The 17572-nt window shown below is 42.8% G+C and overlaps 1 protein-coding gene across 6 annotated transcripts in view; it reads left to right on the top strand.

Moving 5' to 3' along the window:
• Positions 1-17572, top strand: part of SLC6A13 (solute carrier family 6 member 13) — a 42215-nt gene that overhangs the window by 9645 nt on the left and 14998 nt on the right. For 2 of the 6 annotated variants that reach the window (XM_006719008.4, XM_017019842.2), the window contains exon 1: positions 15624-15871. Coding sequence is in view for 4 of the 6 variants with exons in the window: in XM_017019842.2 (XP_016875331.1) it covers positions 15739-15871 (133 nt within the window). In the remaining 2 variants the exon portion in view is untranslated. Of the gene's footprint in view, positions 1-9378; positions 9514-10437; positions 10579-14848; positions 15022-15181; positions 15267-15623; positions 15872-15901; positions 16035-17572 lie in introns of those variants that run through there. The other 4 variants (NM_016615.5, XM_047429420.1, NM_001190997.3 and 1 more) reach the window with 4 other exon arrangements.

Raw genomic sequence — 17572 nt, 5'->3', positions numbered from 1 at the left:
AGTGATTGCTTTCTGGGACGGGGATATGGTCTCTCCTATCTCACGGAGAAAATGCCAGCACATTTTAGAATTTTTGAGGAGACTAGTATGGATGATATGGGGGTGCAGGTTACTGTGAACTCCACCCCCCATCCCCAGGACTAACTTCATCTTTTGATGGTGGTACCTGCGGAGGGGAAGAGGCAGAATGCCCTTCAGCACTCCTCAGTCCGTACCTGGCCCCCTTGGCTCCCTCCCACCCCGACCCCTCTCACACTTCTAGGGCCTGTAGCCCCTCCTTGCAGGTGTGGACTTTGTCCCTCTTGGCAGGCTGCCAAGGAGCTCAACGAGGCAGAGGAAGGAGGTGGGAGCAGCTGACCACGGGGCCCAGAGTTAAACATTGGCTTGGTTTATAGAGAAAGAGCAGGAAGCATGAATATGGGAAGGGGCTTGGGCTGGGCCCATAGCTGTTTCTTTCTGGACTGGGCTCTCCACAGTGACTGTTCCTGTCAGCTGCTGGGTTCTATCTTTCCTGTTTTCCTTCCTGCTCAGCAAACCTTGGGTTGATTTATGGACTTCTTTGGCTGAATTGTTTGCTACCTTTCCTTCTTTGTCCTCATGATCAAGTCCCCCTTAGTGCCTGAATTATGGATGTGTAGAATACAACCTTGAGAAGTGGGAGGTGAAGAACTGGAGAACTGGGTTCCTCATTAACTTACAATAAACCACACATAGTTAAAGTGTACAATTTGATAAATTTTGACATATGTATATACGCATGAAACCACTGCCACAATTGAGATAGTAAACATGTCCATCACTTCCAAAACAGTTACTCCTGTCTCTTTCTAATTCCTTCCTCCCAACTTCACTCCTGCCATCACATCCCAGTGCAATCAATAATTATGCTAAATGCAAACTAAACTAGTTTGTTTTTCTTAGAATATTATATAGATGGAATCATACAGTGTGTTGATAATTATGAAAATTGTGATACCACCATACCTTAGTTTGCGTTTCTTAGAATATTATATAAATGGAATCATATGGTATGTTGATAATTATGATACAGCATAATTATTTAGGGTTTCATTTATAGTTTTCATGTATCAGTAGTTTATCCTTTGTTATCGAGGTATCTTCATATATTCTAACACACAAGTCCTTTATCAGAAATGCATTTTACAAATACTATTTTTTTCATTCTGTGTTTTGTAATTTTCCTTTTCTTTTTTTTGAGATGGGATCTCACTCTGTCACCCAGGCCGAAGTGCAATGGTGCAGTGCAATGGTGCAGTCACGGCTCACTGCATCCTTGACCTTCTGAGCTCAAATGATCTTCCCACCACAGCCTCCCAAAAGTAGCTGCGACTATAGGCATGTGCCACCATGCCCGGAAAATTAAAAACTTTTTTTTTTTTTGGTAGAGACGAGGTCTCACTATGTTGCCTAGGCTGATCTCAAACTCCTGGGCTCAAGCGATCCTCCAGCCTTGGCCTCCCAAAGTGCTGGGATTACAGGCGTGAGCCACTGCACCTGGACTGTTTTTCCTGTTTCTAACAGTGTCTTTAGAAGAGAAGGCGTTTTAAATTTTTATGATGTCTGGTTTATAAATTATTTATTTTATAAACCATACTTTTGATATCATATAAAGAGATCTTTGCCTAACCCAAGGCCTCATATTTTCTTCTAGAAGATGTATAGTTTTAGGTTTGACATTTAGCTCTATGTTTCATTTTGGCTTAATTTTTGTATACAGTGAAGATATGGGTTGAAGTTCATTTCTGGGGGGTTGTATGGGTATTCACTTATGCCAGCACCATTTGTTGAAAAGACTATCCTATTTCCAATGAATTGCCTTTATACCTTCATCAAAAATGAGTTATTTGTATATATGTGGGTCTGTTGATGAATTCTACTCTGTTCCATTGATCTGTTTATTTTGACACCAGTACCACACTGTGTTCATTACTGTGCTTGAGGATAATATAAATACCAGGTGGAATTAAGTACTTCAGTTCTTCTTTTTCAAAGGTTTTTTTTTTTTGTTTTTTTTTGAGACAGAGTCTTGCTCTGTTGCCCAGGCTGGAGTGCAGTGGCGCGATCTCAGCTCATTGCAAGCTCCGCCTCCCGGGTTCACGCAATTCTCCTGCCTCAGCCTCGCGAGTAGCTGGGACTACAGGTGCCCACCACCATGCCCGGCTAATTTTTTGTATTTTTAGTAGAGACAGGGTTTCACCGTGTTGGCCAGGATGGTCTCGATCTCCTGACCTCGTGATCCACCCACCTTGGCCTCCCAGAATGCTCCCAAAATGCCTCCCAAAAAGAAATGAGCCACTGCGCCAGGCCCTGTTTTTAGGTTTTTTTTTTTTTTTTTTTGGGGGGCTATTTTGGGTCCTTATCATTTCCAGATGAATTTTAGAAAGAATTTGTGAATTTCTACAAAAAAGTCTGTTGTGCTTTTGATTAGGATTGTATTAAATCTATAGATCAATTTGGAAAGAATTGACATTTTAATGATATTAAGTCTTCTGATCCTGAATATGGTATGACTCTCCATTTATTTAGCTCTTCATTAATTTCTCTCAGCAATGTTTTGTAGTTGTGAGTGTACATATATCTTTCACAACTTTTGTCAGATTTATTCCTAAGTATTTAATATTTTTGATGCTATTGTAAATGGTATTATTTCCTACATTTTAATTTATGGTTGTTTATTCCTAATACATACACAATTGATTTGTGTATGCCCATCCTGTATCCTGCAAACTTGCTAAACTCACTGATTGGTTCTAATAGGTTTTTTTTTGTGTGCATTCCAAAGGATTTTCATTGTAGAATATCATGTCTTCTGAGAATAAAGCAGTGTTATTTTTTCCTTTTAAATCGGAATAACCTTTAATTCCTTATCTTGCCTTATTGGCTAGATTCTATGGCTAGAATCCCCAGTACAGTATTGAATAGAAGTAGTAAGAATAGACACTTGTTTTATTCTCAATCTTAGCAGTCTTTTACAATTAAGTATGATGTTAGCTGTAGGGTTTTTTTGTAGATGCCCTCTATCAAGTTGAGGAAGTTCTCTTCTCCTCATCATTGCTGGGAGTTTTTATTAGGAATGACTGTTGGATTCAGTCAAATACTTTACTGTACCTATGAAATGATCATATAGTTTTTCTTTTGTAATTTGTTAACAGGATGAGTCACATTATTTATTTATCCATTTATTATAACAGCTGGAGACTACAACACTATGTTGATTTTTTAAAATGTTAAACCCACTTTGTATCTCTGGGATAAACATTACTATATAATATATTGTCCTATTAACATATTGTTAGATTTGATTTCCTAAAATCATTTAGAATTTTGGCATTTATGTTCATGAAATATGTTGATCTTTAACTTTCTTTTCTTATAATGTATTTGTCTGCTTTTATTATCAGGGTAATGCTCACTTTATAAAATTGGTTGGGTAAGCATTCCATCTTTTCAATTTTTTGGAAGAGTTTGTGTAGAATTGCTGTTATTTCTTCCTTAAATATTTGGAGGATTCACCACTGAAGTCATTTGAGCCTGGAAATTTTTGTGGGATGGGTTTAAACCAAAAATGAATTTTCCTTAATAGTTATAGGGCTATTCAGACTGTTTCTTTTTGAGTGGGCTTTGGTAGTTACGTTTTTTATTTTACCTAAATTGTTGCACTTACTGGCATAAAGTTCTTCATATCTTTTCTTATTATTGTTTTAATATCTATAGAATCTTTACTGAGGATACATCTCATTTGTCATGCTGATAATTTGTGTCTTCTAAAATTTTATCAATTTTATTATCTCAAAGAACCAGCTTTTGGTTCATGGATTTTCTCTGTTGCTTTCCTGTTTTCCATTTTATTGATTTCCACTCTGATTTTTATTTCCTTTGACTTACTTTGGCTTTCATTTGCTCTTATCCTTCTCATTTCTTTCTTTCTTTTTTTCTTAACTACACCCTCATTTCAGCAATAATTTCTGATTTCTTAAGGTGGAAGCCGAGGTAATTGATTTGAAACTTTTCTTCTTTTATCATTTAGTAAATCTCCTAGGTACTGCTTTAGCAGTATGCCACAAATTATGATACTGGGTTTCATTTCATTCCATTCAAGATACTTTCTAATTTCTCTTTTGATTACTTCAGTAGAGCCATAGGCTATTTAGAAATGTGTTACCTAATTTCCAAATAGGTGGCAATTTTCCAAATGTCTTTCTCTGATAGATTTCTAATTTAGTCAGAGAACCAATTTTGTATTACTTGGATGCTTTTAAACTTACTGAGATTTGATCTCTGGTCCAGGATATGGGCCCATCTTGGTGGAATATTCCATGTTCATTTGAAACTAATGCATATTCTGCTGTTGGACTGTTGGGTAGAATGTTCAATAAATGTCAACTAAGTTGAGCTGGTGGATATAATTTTCAAATCTGTTATATCCATACTGATTTTCTGTATACTTATTCTATAAATTATTGAGAGAGGGCTATTAACGTTTTTAACATTTATCAGGAATTAGTTTATATGTTTCTCTTTGTAGTTCTGTCAGTTTTTGCTTCGTGCATTTTGAAGCTCTGTCATTAGGTGAATATGCACTTGAAATACTGATTGATTAATTGACCCTCTTGATTAATTGACCCTTTAATCATTATGAAATTACCTTCTTTACCCTTGGTAATATTCTTTGCTCTGAAGTTTACTTTGTGTGACATTAAGATAAACTTTACAGATTTATTTTGAGTAGTGTTAGCATGGTATATCTTTTTTTTTTTTTTTTTTTTTCCGAGACGGAGTCTTGCTGTCGCCTAGGCTGGAGTGCAGTGGTGCAACCTCGGCTCACTGCATGCTCCGCCCCCCGGGGTTCACTCCATTTCTCCTGCCTCAGCCTCCCAGCATGGTATATCTTTCTATCCTTTTACTTTTAACCTCTTCATGTCTTTTTTATTCAAAGTGCATTTTCTTAAGGCAGCATATAGTTGAGTCTTGTCAGGTTTTAAAAGCCAGTCTAACAATCTCTGCCTTTTATTTGGGACGTTTAGACCATTTGCATTTAATACGATTATCCATGTAATTAGGTTTAACTCTATCATCCTATTATTTGTTTTCTCTTTGTCCTATCAGTTATTTGTTTCCCCCTTCCCTCTCCTCCTGCTTTTTTTTTGGAATAATTGAATATTTTTTCTTATTCCATTGTTAGCTTTCTTCTTTTTGTTGGCTTATTAGCTGTAACTTTGTTGTGTTATTTTACTGATTGTTTTAAACTTTGTAGTATACATCTTTAACTTATCACACTTTATCTTCAAGTGATAATGTACCACTTTATATATAAGAACCTTAAAATATTACAATTTCATTTCTTTCCTCCTAACCTTTGTGCTCTTCTTATACATTTTTATATGTTATAAAATCAATATTACATTGTTTTTATTTTTGTTTAACCAGTCAATTATCTTTTAAAAAATATTTGAATAATAAGAAAAACATTCTCTATGTTTATCTATGTAATTACTATTTCTAAAGCTTTTTATTACTTTGTATAGATTCATATTTCTATCTGGTGATATCATTTCATTCTCCCTGAAGGAGTTTCTTCCACATTTCTGGTAGTTCAGTTCTACTTGTGGTAGATCCTTTCAGGTTTTGCATGTCTTAAGAAACAGTTATTTCACTTTCCTTTTTGAACAGTATTATTGCTGGGTATAGAATTCCGGGTTGACAGCTTTCTCCCTCCTCCTTTATTGCTTCAGCAAATGTGCTTCCTTATCACTGTCTTCTCTTTTGCATTGTTTTAAATGAGAAATTTGATGTTATTCTTATCTTTGTCTGTACATATGTGTCGTTTTTCTCTGGTGACTTTTAAGGTTTTCTCTTAAAAGCTCCATATTCCGGTTTAAGTAATGTGATTATGATGCACCTTGGACTAGTTTTTTTTCATTTTTTTTTTAATCTTGGTGTTTGTTGAACTTTTTGGATCTATAGGTTTATAGTTTTCATAAAATTTGTAAAATTTTCAGCTATTATTTCTGTAAGCTTTTTCTCACCCTTTTCTTTCTTTCACAGACTCCCATTACATTAGGCTTTTTGAAGCTGTCTCACCACTTAGGCATACCTGTTCTTTTTAAAAAATTTCTTTTTTCTTTTCTTTCTTTCTTTTCTTTCTTTCTTTTTTTTTTTTTTTGAGATGGAGTCTCACTCTGTCACCCAGGCTGGAGTGCAGTGGTATGATCTCAGCTCACTGCAACCTCCACCTCCCAGGTTCAAGTGATTCTCCTGCCTCAGCCTCCCAAGTAGCTGGAATTACAGGCATGCACCACCACACCCAGCTAATTTTTGTACTTTTAGTAGAGACAGGGTTTCACCATGTTGGCTGGGCTGGTCTTGAACTCCTGACCTCAGGTGATCCACCTGCCTCGGCTTCCCAAAATGCGGGGATTACAGGCATGAACTACCATGCCCAGCAAAAATGTTCTTTTTTCTCTCTGTGTTTTATTTTAGATAGTTTCTATTATGGTTCAAGGTCACTGATCTTTTCTTCTGCTCTGCCTACTAACATTAATCCCATCCAATGTATTTCTTTAAATCTCACACACTGTAGTGTTCATGTTCAGAAGTTTTATTTGGGTCTTTTTCAATATCTTTTATATCCCTAACTTTTGGAACACTTGCAATACAGTTATAATAACTTTTAAATATTCTCATCTGCTAATTCTAACATCTTTGTAAATTATGGGTCAGGTTCAATCTCCTTGCTATGAGTAACATTTTCCTGATTCTTTGCTTTCCTGGTAATTTTCGATTGAATACCAGACCTGGTAATATTTTTGCTTTATGGGTTGCTGGATAATTTATTTATTTATTTATTTATTTTTGAGACAGAGTCTCACTCTGTTGCCAGGCTGGAGTGCAGTGGAGCGATCTCGGTTCACTGCAACCTCCATCTCCCGGGTTCAAGCAATTCTCCTGGTTCAGCCTCCCAAGTAGCTGGGACCACAGGCACATGCCACCATGCCCAGCTAATTTTTGTATTTTATTTATTTATTTATTTATTTATTTTTACTTTTATTTTTTGAGATGGAGTCTTGCTCTGTCACCCAGGCTGGATTGCAGTGGCACAATCTCGGCTCACTGCAACCTCCGCCTCCTGGGTTCACGCCATTCTCCTTCCTCAGCCTCCCAAGTAGCTGGGACTATAGGCACCCACCACCACACCCGGCTAATTTTTTTGTATTTTTAGTAGAGATGGGGTTTCACTGTGTTAGCCAGGATGGTCTCGATCTCCTGACCTCATGATCCACCTGCCTCAGCCTCCCAAAGTGCTGGGATTACAGGCTTGAGCCACCGCGCCCAGCTAATTTTTGTATTTTTACTAGAGATGGGGTTTCACCATGTTGGCCAGGATGGTCTCGATCTCTTGACCTCGTGATCTGCCTGCCTTGGCCTCCCAGAGTGCTGGGATTACAGGCGTAATCCACCACACCCTGCCTTTTCTTTCTTTCTTTTTTTTTTGCGACAGAGTCCCACTCTGTTGCCCAGGCTGGAGTGCAGTGGCACGATCTCGGCTCACTGCAACCTCTGCCTCCCAGGTTCAAGCAATTCTCCTGCCTCAGCCTCCCAAGTAGCTGGAGCTACAGGTGCGTGCCACCATGCCAGGCTAATTTTTGTATTTTTAGTAGAGACAGGATTTCACTATATTGGCCAGGCTGGTCTTGAACTCCTGACTTGGTGATCTGTCCACCTCAGCCTCCCGAAGTGCTGGGATTACAGACGTGAGCCACTGCACCCGGCCAATTTCGTATTTCTGTAAATATTCTTTAGCTCTGTTCTGGGATCAGTGAAGTTACTTGCTCTTTTTATATCTTGCTTTTAAGATTGGTTAGGTAGCAATAGAAGTGTGCTCGGTCTAGGGATAATTATTCCCCGTTACTGAGGAAATGCCCTTCTGCGTACTCTGCCTAATGCCTGGTGAATCTTGAGATTATTTACTCTGGCAGTGTGTGAGCACCATTACTTTTAATCATTTTGAATGGTTCTTTCCCTCACCTCAGTTTTCTCACACATATGCACTGACTAGTACTCAGTTGGAAGCTTGAGGGGGACCCTCTGCAGATTCTCCTGTCTGTGCAGTTCTGTCTTCTCTGGTACTCTGTGTCCTATGAACTGTGCTGTCCACTTTGCCAGCAGATGACAGGTCCATGGTAGGGAAAATACCAGTATATCTGGCATCAGTAGTCTTGTCTCCGCCAATGCTTATAAAAACAGAAGGAGACAGATTACTAGCTTAGTTCATTTTGTGTTGCTACAACAGAACACCTGAGATGGGTAATTTATAAGGAACAGATATTTATTTATTATAGTTTTGGAGGTTGGGAAGTCCAGGGCAAGCAGTCCACCTCTGGTGAGGGCCTTCTTCTTTGTGTCAGCCCATGGCAGAAGGCAGAAAGGCAAGAGAATATTCATATAAAAGACAGAGAGCCAAATACACTTTTTTTTTTTGGACAGGGTCTTGCTCTGTCACCCAGGTTGGAGGGAGGGCAGTGGCACAATCACAGCTCACTGCAGCCTCGAACTCCCAGGTTTAATCAATCCTCCCACCTCAGCCTCCCGAGTAGCTAGGATTACAGGCACACACAGCCATGCCCAGATAATTTTTTGTATTTCTTTTAGAGACAGAGTTTTCCCATGTTGCCCAGGCTGGTCTTGAAGTCCTGGGCTCAAGCGATCCTCCCACCTCAGCCTCCCAAAGTGCTGGGATTACAGGCGTGAGCCACTGTGCCTGGCCCAAACTCACTTTTATAACAAACACAGTCTCACAGTAATAACATTAATCCATTCATGAGGGCAGAGCCCTCATGACTTACATCTTATTAGGCTCCACGTCCCAACACTGTTGCATAGGGAATTAAGTTTCCAACCACGAACTTTAGGGGATACATTCAAACCATAACAATGACTGAAAGGGCATCTGATTTCAGCTTACTAAAAGACTACCTGACGTTAAGAGCAATGCTTTCTTTGAAAAGAATTATAGACTGTGGGCTGTGCCAATGCTCCTAGACATCCATTATTTAATAAGCTCCTTGTTATTGCCACAAGTTATGTGTTAAGCAGTAATTGTTCAGTGGGGAACAAACTTTAATAGGTATAGACTGAAACTGCAGTGAAAAAAGGCAAGAGGCTGTGTAGATCTTAGATAATGGGGTGACTCTTGATCTCTGCTATGTTCCAAACATCTAGACAGCTGTCTCCTGCAGTTTTGCATGTTCTCTGCCTCCGAGATTCTGACTGGCAGTATGGGTTGGTAATGGGAGGAGGTGAATGCAGACCATGAGGAGAATAGTCCCAGGAAATGAACAGCCTGTTTTCTAACCACAGGTGCCTTCTTCATCCCCTACCTCGTCTTCCTCTTTACCTGTGGCATTCCTGTCTTCCTTCTGGAGACAGCACTAGGCCAGTACACTAGCCAGGGAGGCGTCACAGCCTGGAGGAAGATCTGCCCCATCTTTGAGGGTGAGTAGCTCTGTACCTGACTCCAAAGCGTCTTCATTCGTGGTTATAAACCTTGTTTGGAATGACTTGAGTGATTAGTAGCAGTTCTGAGGTTAAGATAAGATCCCGAGTCTCTATGCTAAACCCTTGGTTTGTGGGCTGCATACTGAGCTAGTCAGCTGATCTATCAGAGAATGGGCAAGAAACAGCAGTGAGGATGGGGCAGAGGCTTTAGGTTAGGTAAGTAGAGTGCAAAGCCACTTTAGCCATATGTTTTAAACACATAACAATGTTGTTGTATTTTAAGACATATTTAAATCAATTATAAACATTTTAAAAGAGAACTTTAAATGAGAAAAAATTATTTCATTCATAGTTCTATCTTGGCCGGGCGTGGTGGCCCATGCCTGTAATCCCAGCACTTTGGGAGGCCGAGGCAGGTGGATCACCTGAGGTCAGGAGTTCGAGACCAGCCTGGCCAACATGGTGAAACTAAAATACAAAATACAAAAAATACAAAAAATTAGCCAGGCATGGTGGTGGGCACCGGTAATCCTAGCTACTCAGGAGGCTGAGGCAGGAGAATCTCTTGAACCTGGGAGGCAGAGGTTGCAGCGAGCCGAGATTGCACCACTGCACTCCAGCCTGGGTGACAAGAGCAAAACTCCATCTCAAAAAAAAAAAAAAGTTCTATCTTGACACAAGTATTTAAAATTTACAGTATTTAATTTCATTATTTCTCCATATATAGGATTTTCTTTACGTTTTTATTTTGAAATAATTATAGATCCACAGGGAGTTACAAAAATAGCAGTTTCCCTCAATGGTAAATTGAACTCCCAGCCTCAGACAATCCTCTCACCTCAGCGTCCCGCATAGCTGAAATGACAGGTGCACGCCACCGCTGTCCACCGTTCCTAGCCCAATTCTGCAGTTTCCCCGCAGGCATTGGCTATGCCTCCCAGATGATCGTCATCCTCCTCAACGTCTACTACATCATTGTGTTGGCCTGGGCCCTGTTCTACCTCTTCAGCAGCTTCACCATCGACCTGCCCTGGGGCGGCTGCTACCATGAGTGGAACACAGGTATGGTCCTCACCCAAGGGTCCACTTCCTCCTCTCGTTCTGCCACATTAACCGGAATTGGGCTTGTCACTATATCCCCGCTTAACACGGACACACCAGAAATCACCCAAGTCGACCATGGAGAGCTTATGTCAAGAATAAGATCAAGAATTCACCAGCGTCACAGGCAAATGTCAGGAACTTTTTAAAGAAAAAATTAACATATTCAATGAGAACTGACCACTTTTATGTTGTTTAGCCATTTGCTTAAATCAATTTGAAATATGGTTAGTTTGATATATGGATATATGTTTTGTTCATTCATTTGTTTCGCGTATCTTCTCTCTGGTACGTTTTAGGTCTTTCAAACTTGCAATTCATCTGGACTTGCTTGTCAGGGGTGGCAGAGGCGGGAGAAAATCCACGTATAAGTGGACCCGCACAGTTCAGATCCATGTTGCTCAAGGGTCCACTGTGGTTTATAATAGCAGTTACAGTCACGTGTCGCTTAATGACAAGGGTACACTCTGAGAAACGCGTTGTTGGCAATTTCGTCCTTGGATGAACACAGCACAGAGTGCACACCCACATGGCCCAGCCCATCGCACACCTGGGCCGTCTGCTATAATACTGTGCCGAACACTGTAGGCACTTGCAGCACGATGGTAAGTATTTGTGTATCTAAACATAGTGCAACATAGGAAAGGTACAGTAAAGATGCCGTATTTTATAATCAAATGTGAACACTGCCATACAGGTGATCCACTGTTGGCTGAAGCGTTGCTATGTGCTGCATATCTGCAATTTCTCCTGTGCTTATACGACTACCTGAGCCACCCATGGCAATAGAAATACTGAGTCTAATGTATAAAAAGTAACAACAACAAAAATATCTAGGGCAATGCTGTCCAAAAGAACTGTCTGTAATGATGAAAATGTTCTTTGCACTATCCAATATGGTAGTTCTTAATACCAGCTACATGTGGTTATTTATTTATTTACCTTTCACGGGCAGTCCCACTGAACCAGTGTAGGTTTGGAGTGACTCCTATGTGTGGTTATTGAGCACCTGAAATGTGGCAAGTGGTCTGAGGAACAGAACTTTAACATTTGCATTGAATGTTAACTTAAACAGCCACAGGTGGCTCGTGGCTGCCCTGTCGGACGGCATGGCTGGAGAGCACGGTGGACGCTGTTCTGCTTGGATTCTTGGCACATCCCTCTCTCCTTGTCCAAGTATCTTCCAGCACCAGTCAACAAGGCCCTAGCCCTTTGAAGTGGGCTAGCCATGATTAATTCTTTCTTTTTTATCTTTTTTATTTTTATTTTTTTGAGATGGAGTCTCGCTCGGTCGCCCAGGCTGGAGTGCAGTGGCGCGATCTTGGCTCACTGCAACCTCCACCCCACAGGTTCAAGCAATTCTCTGCTTCAGCCTCCCAAGTAGATGGGATTACAGGCGCCTGCCAACACGCCCGGCTAATTTTTGTATTTTTAGTAGAGACAGGGTTTCACCATTTTGGCCAGGCTGGTCTTGAACTCCTGACCTTGTGATCCACCTGCCTCGGCCTCCCAAAGCGCTGGGATTACAGGCGTGAGCCACTGTGCCCAGCCCAATTCTTTCTTGCTCAGATAAGTTAATTCTGAACTGGAGTTTGAATCCTTTACTTGCCCGGAAAAGCATTTTTGCACGGTTAGGATGATATTCTTCATCCCTTCATGACCTGACTCCTGTCTGTGTCACCACCTCACCTTTACCTCTCTCACCTTGTACTTGATGCTCCCCTTCCAGGCACGTCTTTGTGCATCACTGCCACCACCTCCATTCCACCGTTATTTTTCAAAGGGAAAGTAAACCTTGGGGGTACCTCCTCCGACACCCCAGGATGGCATTAGGTTCTTGTTAAATGTGTCTGGTAGCACCTGCACCGGCCCCGGCCCTGCTCCTGCACTTCCCTCACTTTTCATCTGTTTGTTGATTTGGTTTTCCCACTAGTCATCAAGATCGTGAGGGCAGAAAAGGTGTCTTTATCTCCACAGCTTCTGTGCCTAGCACAGTGCTGGCTCTATCGTAAGCACTCAAAAATATTGATCGAATGAATCAAGGTTTAAAGATCTGTTTTATTATAATTAGTCTGGGGGCGGTGGCTCACGCCTGTAATCCTAGCACTTTGGGAGGCCGAAGCCAGTGGATCGCCTCAGCTCAGGAGTTTGAGACCAACCTGGGCAAGACGATGAAACCCCATCTCTACTGAAAATACAAAAAATTTGCCAGGGGTGGTGGTGCACACCCATGGCCCTAGCTACTTGGGAGGTTGAGACAGGAGGATTGCTTGAGCCTGGGAGGTGGAGGTTGCAGTGAGCCGAGATTGTGCCACTGCACTCCAGCCTGGGTAATAGAGAAAGACTTGGTCTCCAAAAAAAATCTGTTTTATTATACTTCTTTAGCTTTATATATATTTTCTTTTCTTCCTTTTTATTTTTTTAAATATCTATGTGTACTGAGACCACCCTTGACAACCAGCCTGTCAGACAGTAAAGATTTTATCCAGATCTCAGTGGAGTCCCTCTTGAAACAATTTTGTCAATTTTTGGTGGCCTAGAGCTTTTGCTTCAGGGCTTCATTAGGCCCACCTTCCTTTGGATTGCCTGGGGGTCTCTGGGACAATTCTGAGGCACATTAAATACCTGAGTATTATTTTTTGACATTGTTGACATCTCTCTTAGTGAGCCTGGTTTTACTCAGAGCCTAGCATTTGAATAGCACGAGACACGCTGTCCCGCCAAGATGAAATAATGCTTTTCTGGGTGCACTGCAGCGTCCAGGAAAGTGAATGGTTTAGTGGAGAGAGCACCTAGCTGGCCTTCAGTCACCCAGCAGATACTTGTTGAGCTCCTGCTATATGCCAGGCTCTGTTCTGAGCACCAGAAATATGGTAATAAACAAAAACAAAGACCCCACCCTCCTGGGGCTTTCATTGTAGCGATGGGAGGTAGACATAAACAAAACAAGTGAATAAGAAGTGTCTGCTTAGAAAGCAGCAGCACATGTCGTGTTAGAAGATGGGCTATGGAGGAAAATAAAACAGAGACTGTGAGTTTCATGGGTGGGATTGCAATTTTAAGTGGCATGGTCAGGAAAGGCCTTACTGAGATGCCCCTTCAGCATTGGTCTGAAGGAGGAGGGGGAACGAGTCATTGAGCTGGGGGACAAGAACTCTAGGAAGAAGGAACTGAGGAGGCACGGCATCTAACACACCCCACGTGTGCAGGGAACCGGGTGGACGTGGTAGAGCCGGTGGCTGAGGGGAATGGTGTGGGAATGGATCCAACACACCCCACGTGTGCAGGGAACAGGGTGGACGTGGTAGAGCCGGTGGCTGAAGGGAATGGTGTGGGAATGGATCCAACACAACCCATGTGTGCAGGGAACAGGGTGGACGTGGTAGAGCACGTGGCTGAAGGGGCAGGGAACAGGGTGGACGTGGTAGAGCATGTGGCTGAGGGAAATGGTGTGGGAATGGATCCAACACACCCCACGTGTGCAGGGAACAGGGTGGACGTGGTAGAGCAGGTGGCTGAGGGGAATGGTGTGGAATGCATCCAATATGGCCTTGAAGGCAACTAAAGGGGCTGCAGCTTTTTTCTTTGAGTGGGACGGGAAACCCACGGGAGGCCTTTACCTGGGGTGTGACATAGAGTGATCTAAGGTTTAACAAAATGGAGATTCCACGAGGGGAACAAGGGTGAAAACCGAAGGCCAGGTAGGAGCCGGGAGCTGATGCTGCCACCCTGTACCGGGTGGTGGTAGAGGTGACAGAAGGATCAGTCTGGATATTTTGAAGGTGGAACCCAGACAATTTGCTGACCTGGGTTCCAGCCTACACTTGGTCATTCATGAGCAGATACAGGCCATTTCTAAGAAGATCCACCGTCTTCATGGGCACAATGGGGAAAACAGTATCTGTCTTAATATTTCCCAGGATTATTGTATTTATCAAACCTAAAAAAGTCAGTACTCTTTGTAAAACTCCAAAGTCACACACAAATAATAAAGAGCACCACTTATTGAGCACTCTACATCCACGTTTTCATTTAATTTCTTATCAATCCTACGTAATGGATCTTACTGTCTGCATTTTAGAGACGAGCGAAGCAAAACACAGAGAGCTGAGTTATAACTTACCCACAGCTGCACAGTTCATACCCGTGGGGTCAGCATTCAAGCCAGAGCTTTCCAACCTGCGCTCTCGGCCACTCTGACACATCACTTCCCTCTTATTATTCCTCGAAGGTGGTGACTTTGCACAGGACGCTTACATAGAAATGTTAGCATGCCTTGAAGCAGCTGACCTGAAGAGCACCTTTCCTGTTGCCATCTGATCATGCTTGAGGAGAATGTATACCCAAGCATCTATGTACCCACATGTCCAAGTGTGCGGGAGAGAGTGAGCTGCATTTGTTGAGGTTATTACGTGTGGGAGGATGTTTTGTACAGATAACCTTAGCCTGGCTCCTGCCAAATACCTTCCTTCCCATTCTCCTAGAATTTCACCCCACTCTCCAGTTGTGTCATAGGCTGGCTGATGATTTTTCTCTTTTTTCCCTCCTCGTGACCCATGGGTAGAACACTGTATGGAGTTCCAGAAGACCAACGGCTCCCTGAATGGTACCTCTGAGAATGCCACCTCTCCTGTCATCGAGTTCTGGGAGTAAGTGAGACCCTTCCCCACCCACTGTGGGCCGTGTGTTCAGAAGAAGGGTATGGGGAGGAGTACACACCAAGGTCACTCTCAATGGACAGCAAGGGAAGAATTTCCACTAAGTGGCTTTTTTCTGTGGTGCCTATGTTTGTGGTTATTGCAGGACTGGTTTCAGAGATGAGACTTCTGCAGTTCTCCTGGGGCTGTGCCTGGCCTTCCTTGCCCGCACCCCCGCCCCGTGTTAGAGAGTGTGTGTGCATATGTGCTCTCACTCCGCACTTCCTCCTCCCTGTGGCTGCAAGAGTGTGGACTCTGACCCACCCCCTCCCCCCAGTACTGATATTCACCCAGGGCAAGAGTCCTGCTGTCAAAAGGTCCTGAAACCCTGGTTGGAAACATAGGTGCCTGCACCTCCTTCCCTTGGCTGGGGACAAAGCACTCAGAGCAAACTTACCTGGAACAGTCTCCATTCTCCACCTTTATGTCCACCTCCAGCTCTGGGCTAAGGATGGCCTCATGTGAAGAGAGCAGAGAAGCCTTTGGACAAGAGCCTGGAGGCAGGCTCAGCTCCACTGTCCCAGGACGGGGCCACAAAACTGAGGCTGGCAGAAAAAGTAAGCCAGGTTCAACCCTTCTCTCCCCAGGCGGCGGGTCTTGAAGATCTCTGATGGGATCCAGCACCTGGGGGCCCTGCGCTGGGAGCTGGCTCTGTGCCTCCTGCTGGCCTGGGTCATCTGCTACTTCTGCATCTGGAAGGGGGTGAAGTCCACAGGCAAGGTTCGTGTGGGGAGCTCCTGCCCCTCCCATTCCCGGACTCCTGCCCTCACTGGGGGCTGTCACCCAGGAGTTCTCTAAGCTGTGGCCCCGTTGAGGATGGGAGGCGATGACCCAGCGAGGATTTGATGTGGCTCCCTTCCTTGATTCTCCGCCTCTCCTAGACTCACATACTTCTGGTTTTTGGGACTGGAAGAGAGCGAGAAAGGCAGGAAGGACACCTCCAGGGTAATCTGATCTTGGAACTGACGATGGGTGGGCACATTGCAAATTGAACACAAGTCATGGTTCCCTAATTCATACAACAGTTCTTTGGAAAAAGAATTCCATGAAGACTCTTCATCTCAAAATGATTCTTAATCAACTCAAGAATTCCAGGGGACTCTTTGCCCTGGAGCAAAGAGGGCATTCTGAATTCTCCTGAACTCTTGCCCTGGGGGCCTCTCCTAATCTGGCTGCCTGGTTGTGCTAAGCTAGTAAGCTCCATGAGGACAGAGGTCATGTGTCACAAATCTTTTCATATCTGACAATCCTTGCCATGAACGCTAAGCACACTTATTGGGAGAATGCCAAATGTCATTCAGCCACTCAACAAATATTTATTGAATATGTGTCAGGGGAGGTGGGAGCTTTTAGCTGGAGGGAGGAAGGGAAGAGGGGAGGCTGTGGCTCAAGGGATAGGGGAGATGGAACTATATCCGGGGAACCCGCTCCCAATATTTCAAAGTAGGTTCTTTCTATTTTCCATAAGTGTCGGCTGGCTGAGAAATAAAGAGAGACAGTATAAAGAGAGGAATTTTACAGCTGGGCCGCTGGGGGTGACATCACATATTGGTAGGGCCACGATGCCCACCTGAGTCTCAGACCAGCAAGTTTTTATTAAGGGTTTTAAAAGGGGAGGGGGTGTAAGAACAGGGAGTAGGTACAAAGATCTCATGCTTCAAAGGGCAAAAAGCAGATCTACTAATAAGTGTCTAACAAAGATCACATGCTTCTGAGGGAACAGGACAAAGGGCAAAAGCAGAATTACTAATAAGGGTCCAACAAAGATCACAAGGCAAAGGGCAAAAACAGAACTACTAATAAGGGTCTATGTTCAGCGGTGCACGTATTGTCTTGATAAACATCTTAAATAACAGAAAATAGGGTTCAAGAGCAGAGAACTGGTCTGACCACAGATTTACCAGGGCAGAGTTTTTCCCCACCCTAGTAAACCTGAGGGTACTGCAGGAGACCAGGGCATATCTCAGTCCTTATCTCAACTGCATAAGACAGACATTCCCAGAGCGGCCATTTATAGACCTCCCCCCAGGAATGCATTCCTTTCCCAGGGTATTAATATTAATATTCCTTGCTAGGAAAAGAATTTAGCGACATCTCTCCTACTTGCACGTCCGTTTATAGGCTCTCTGCAAGAAGAAAAATATGGCTGTTTTTGCCCGACCCCACAGGCAGTCAGACCTTATGGTTGTCTTCCCTTGTTCCCTAAAAATCGCTAGTATTCTGTTCTTTTTCAAGGTGCACTGATTTCATATTGTTCA

The sequence above is a fragment of the Homo sapiens genome, chromosome 12, assembly GCF_000001405.40.
Source record: "Homo sapiens chromosome 12, GRCh38.p14 Primary Assembly".
NCBI lineage: Eukaryota > Metazoa > Chordata > Mammalia > Primates > Hominidae > Homo > Homo sapiens.
The sequence above is the reverse complement of the archived record's forward strand: the minus strand, read 5'-3'. Positions and strand labels throughout refer to the sequence as shown.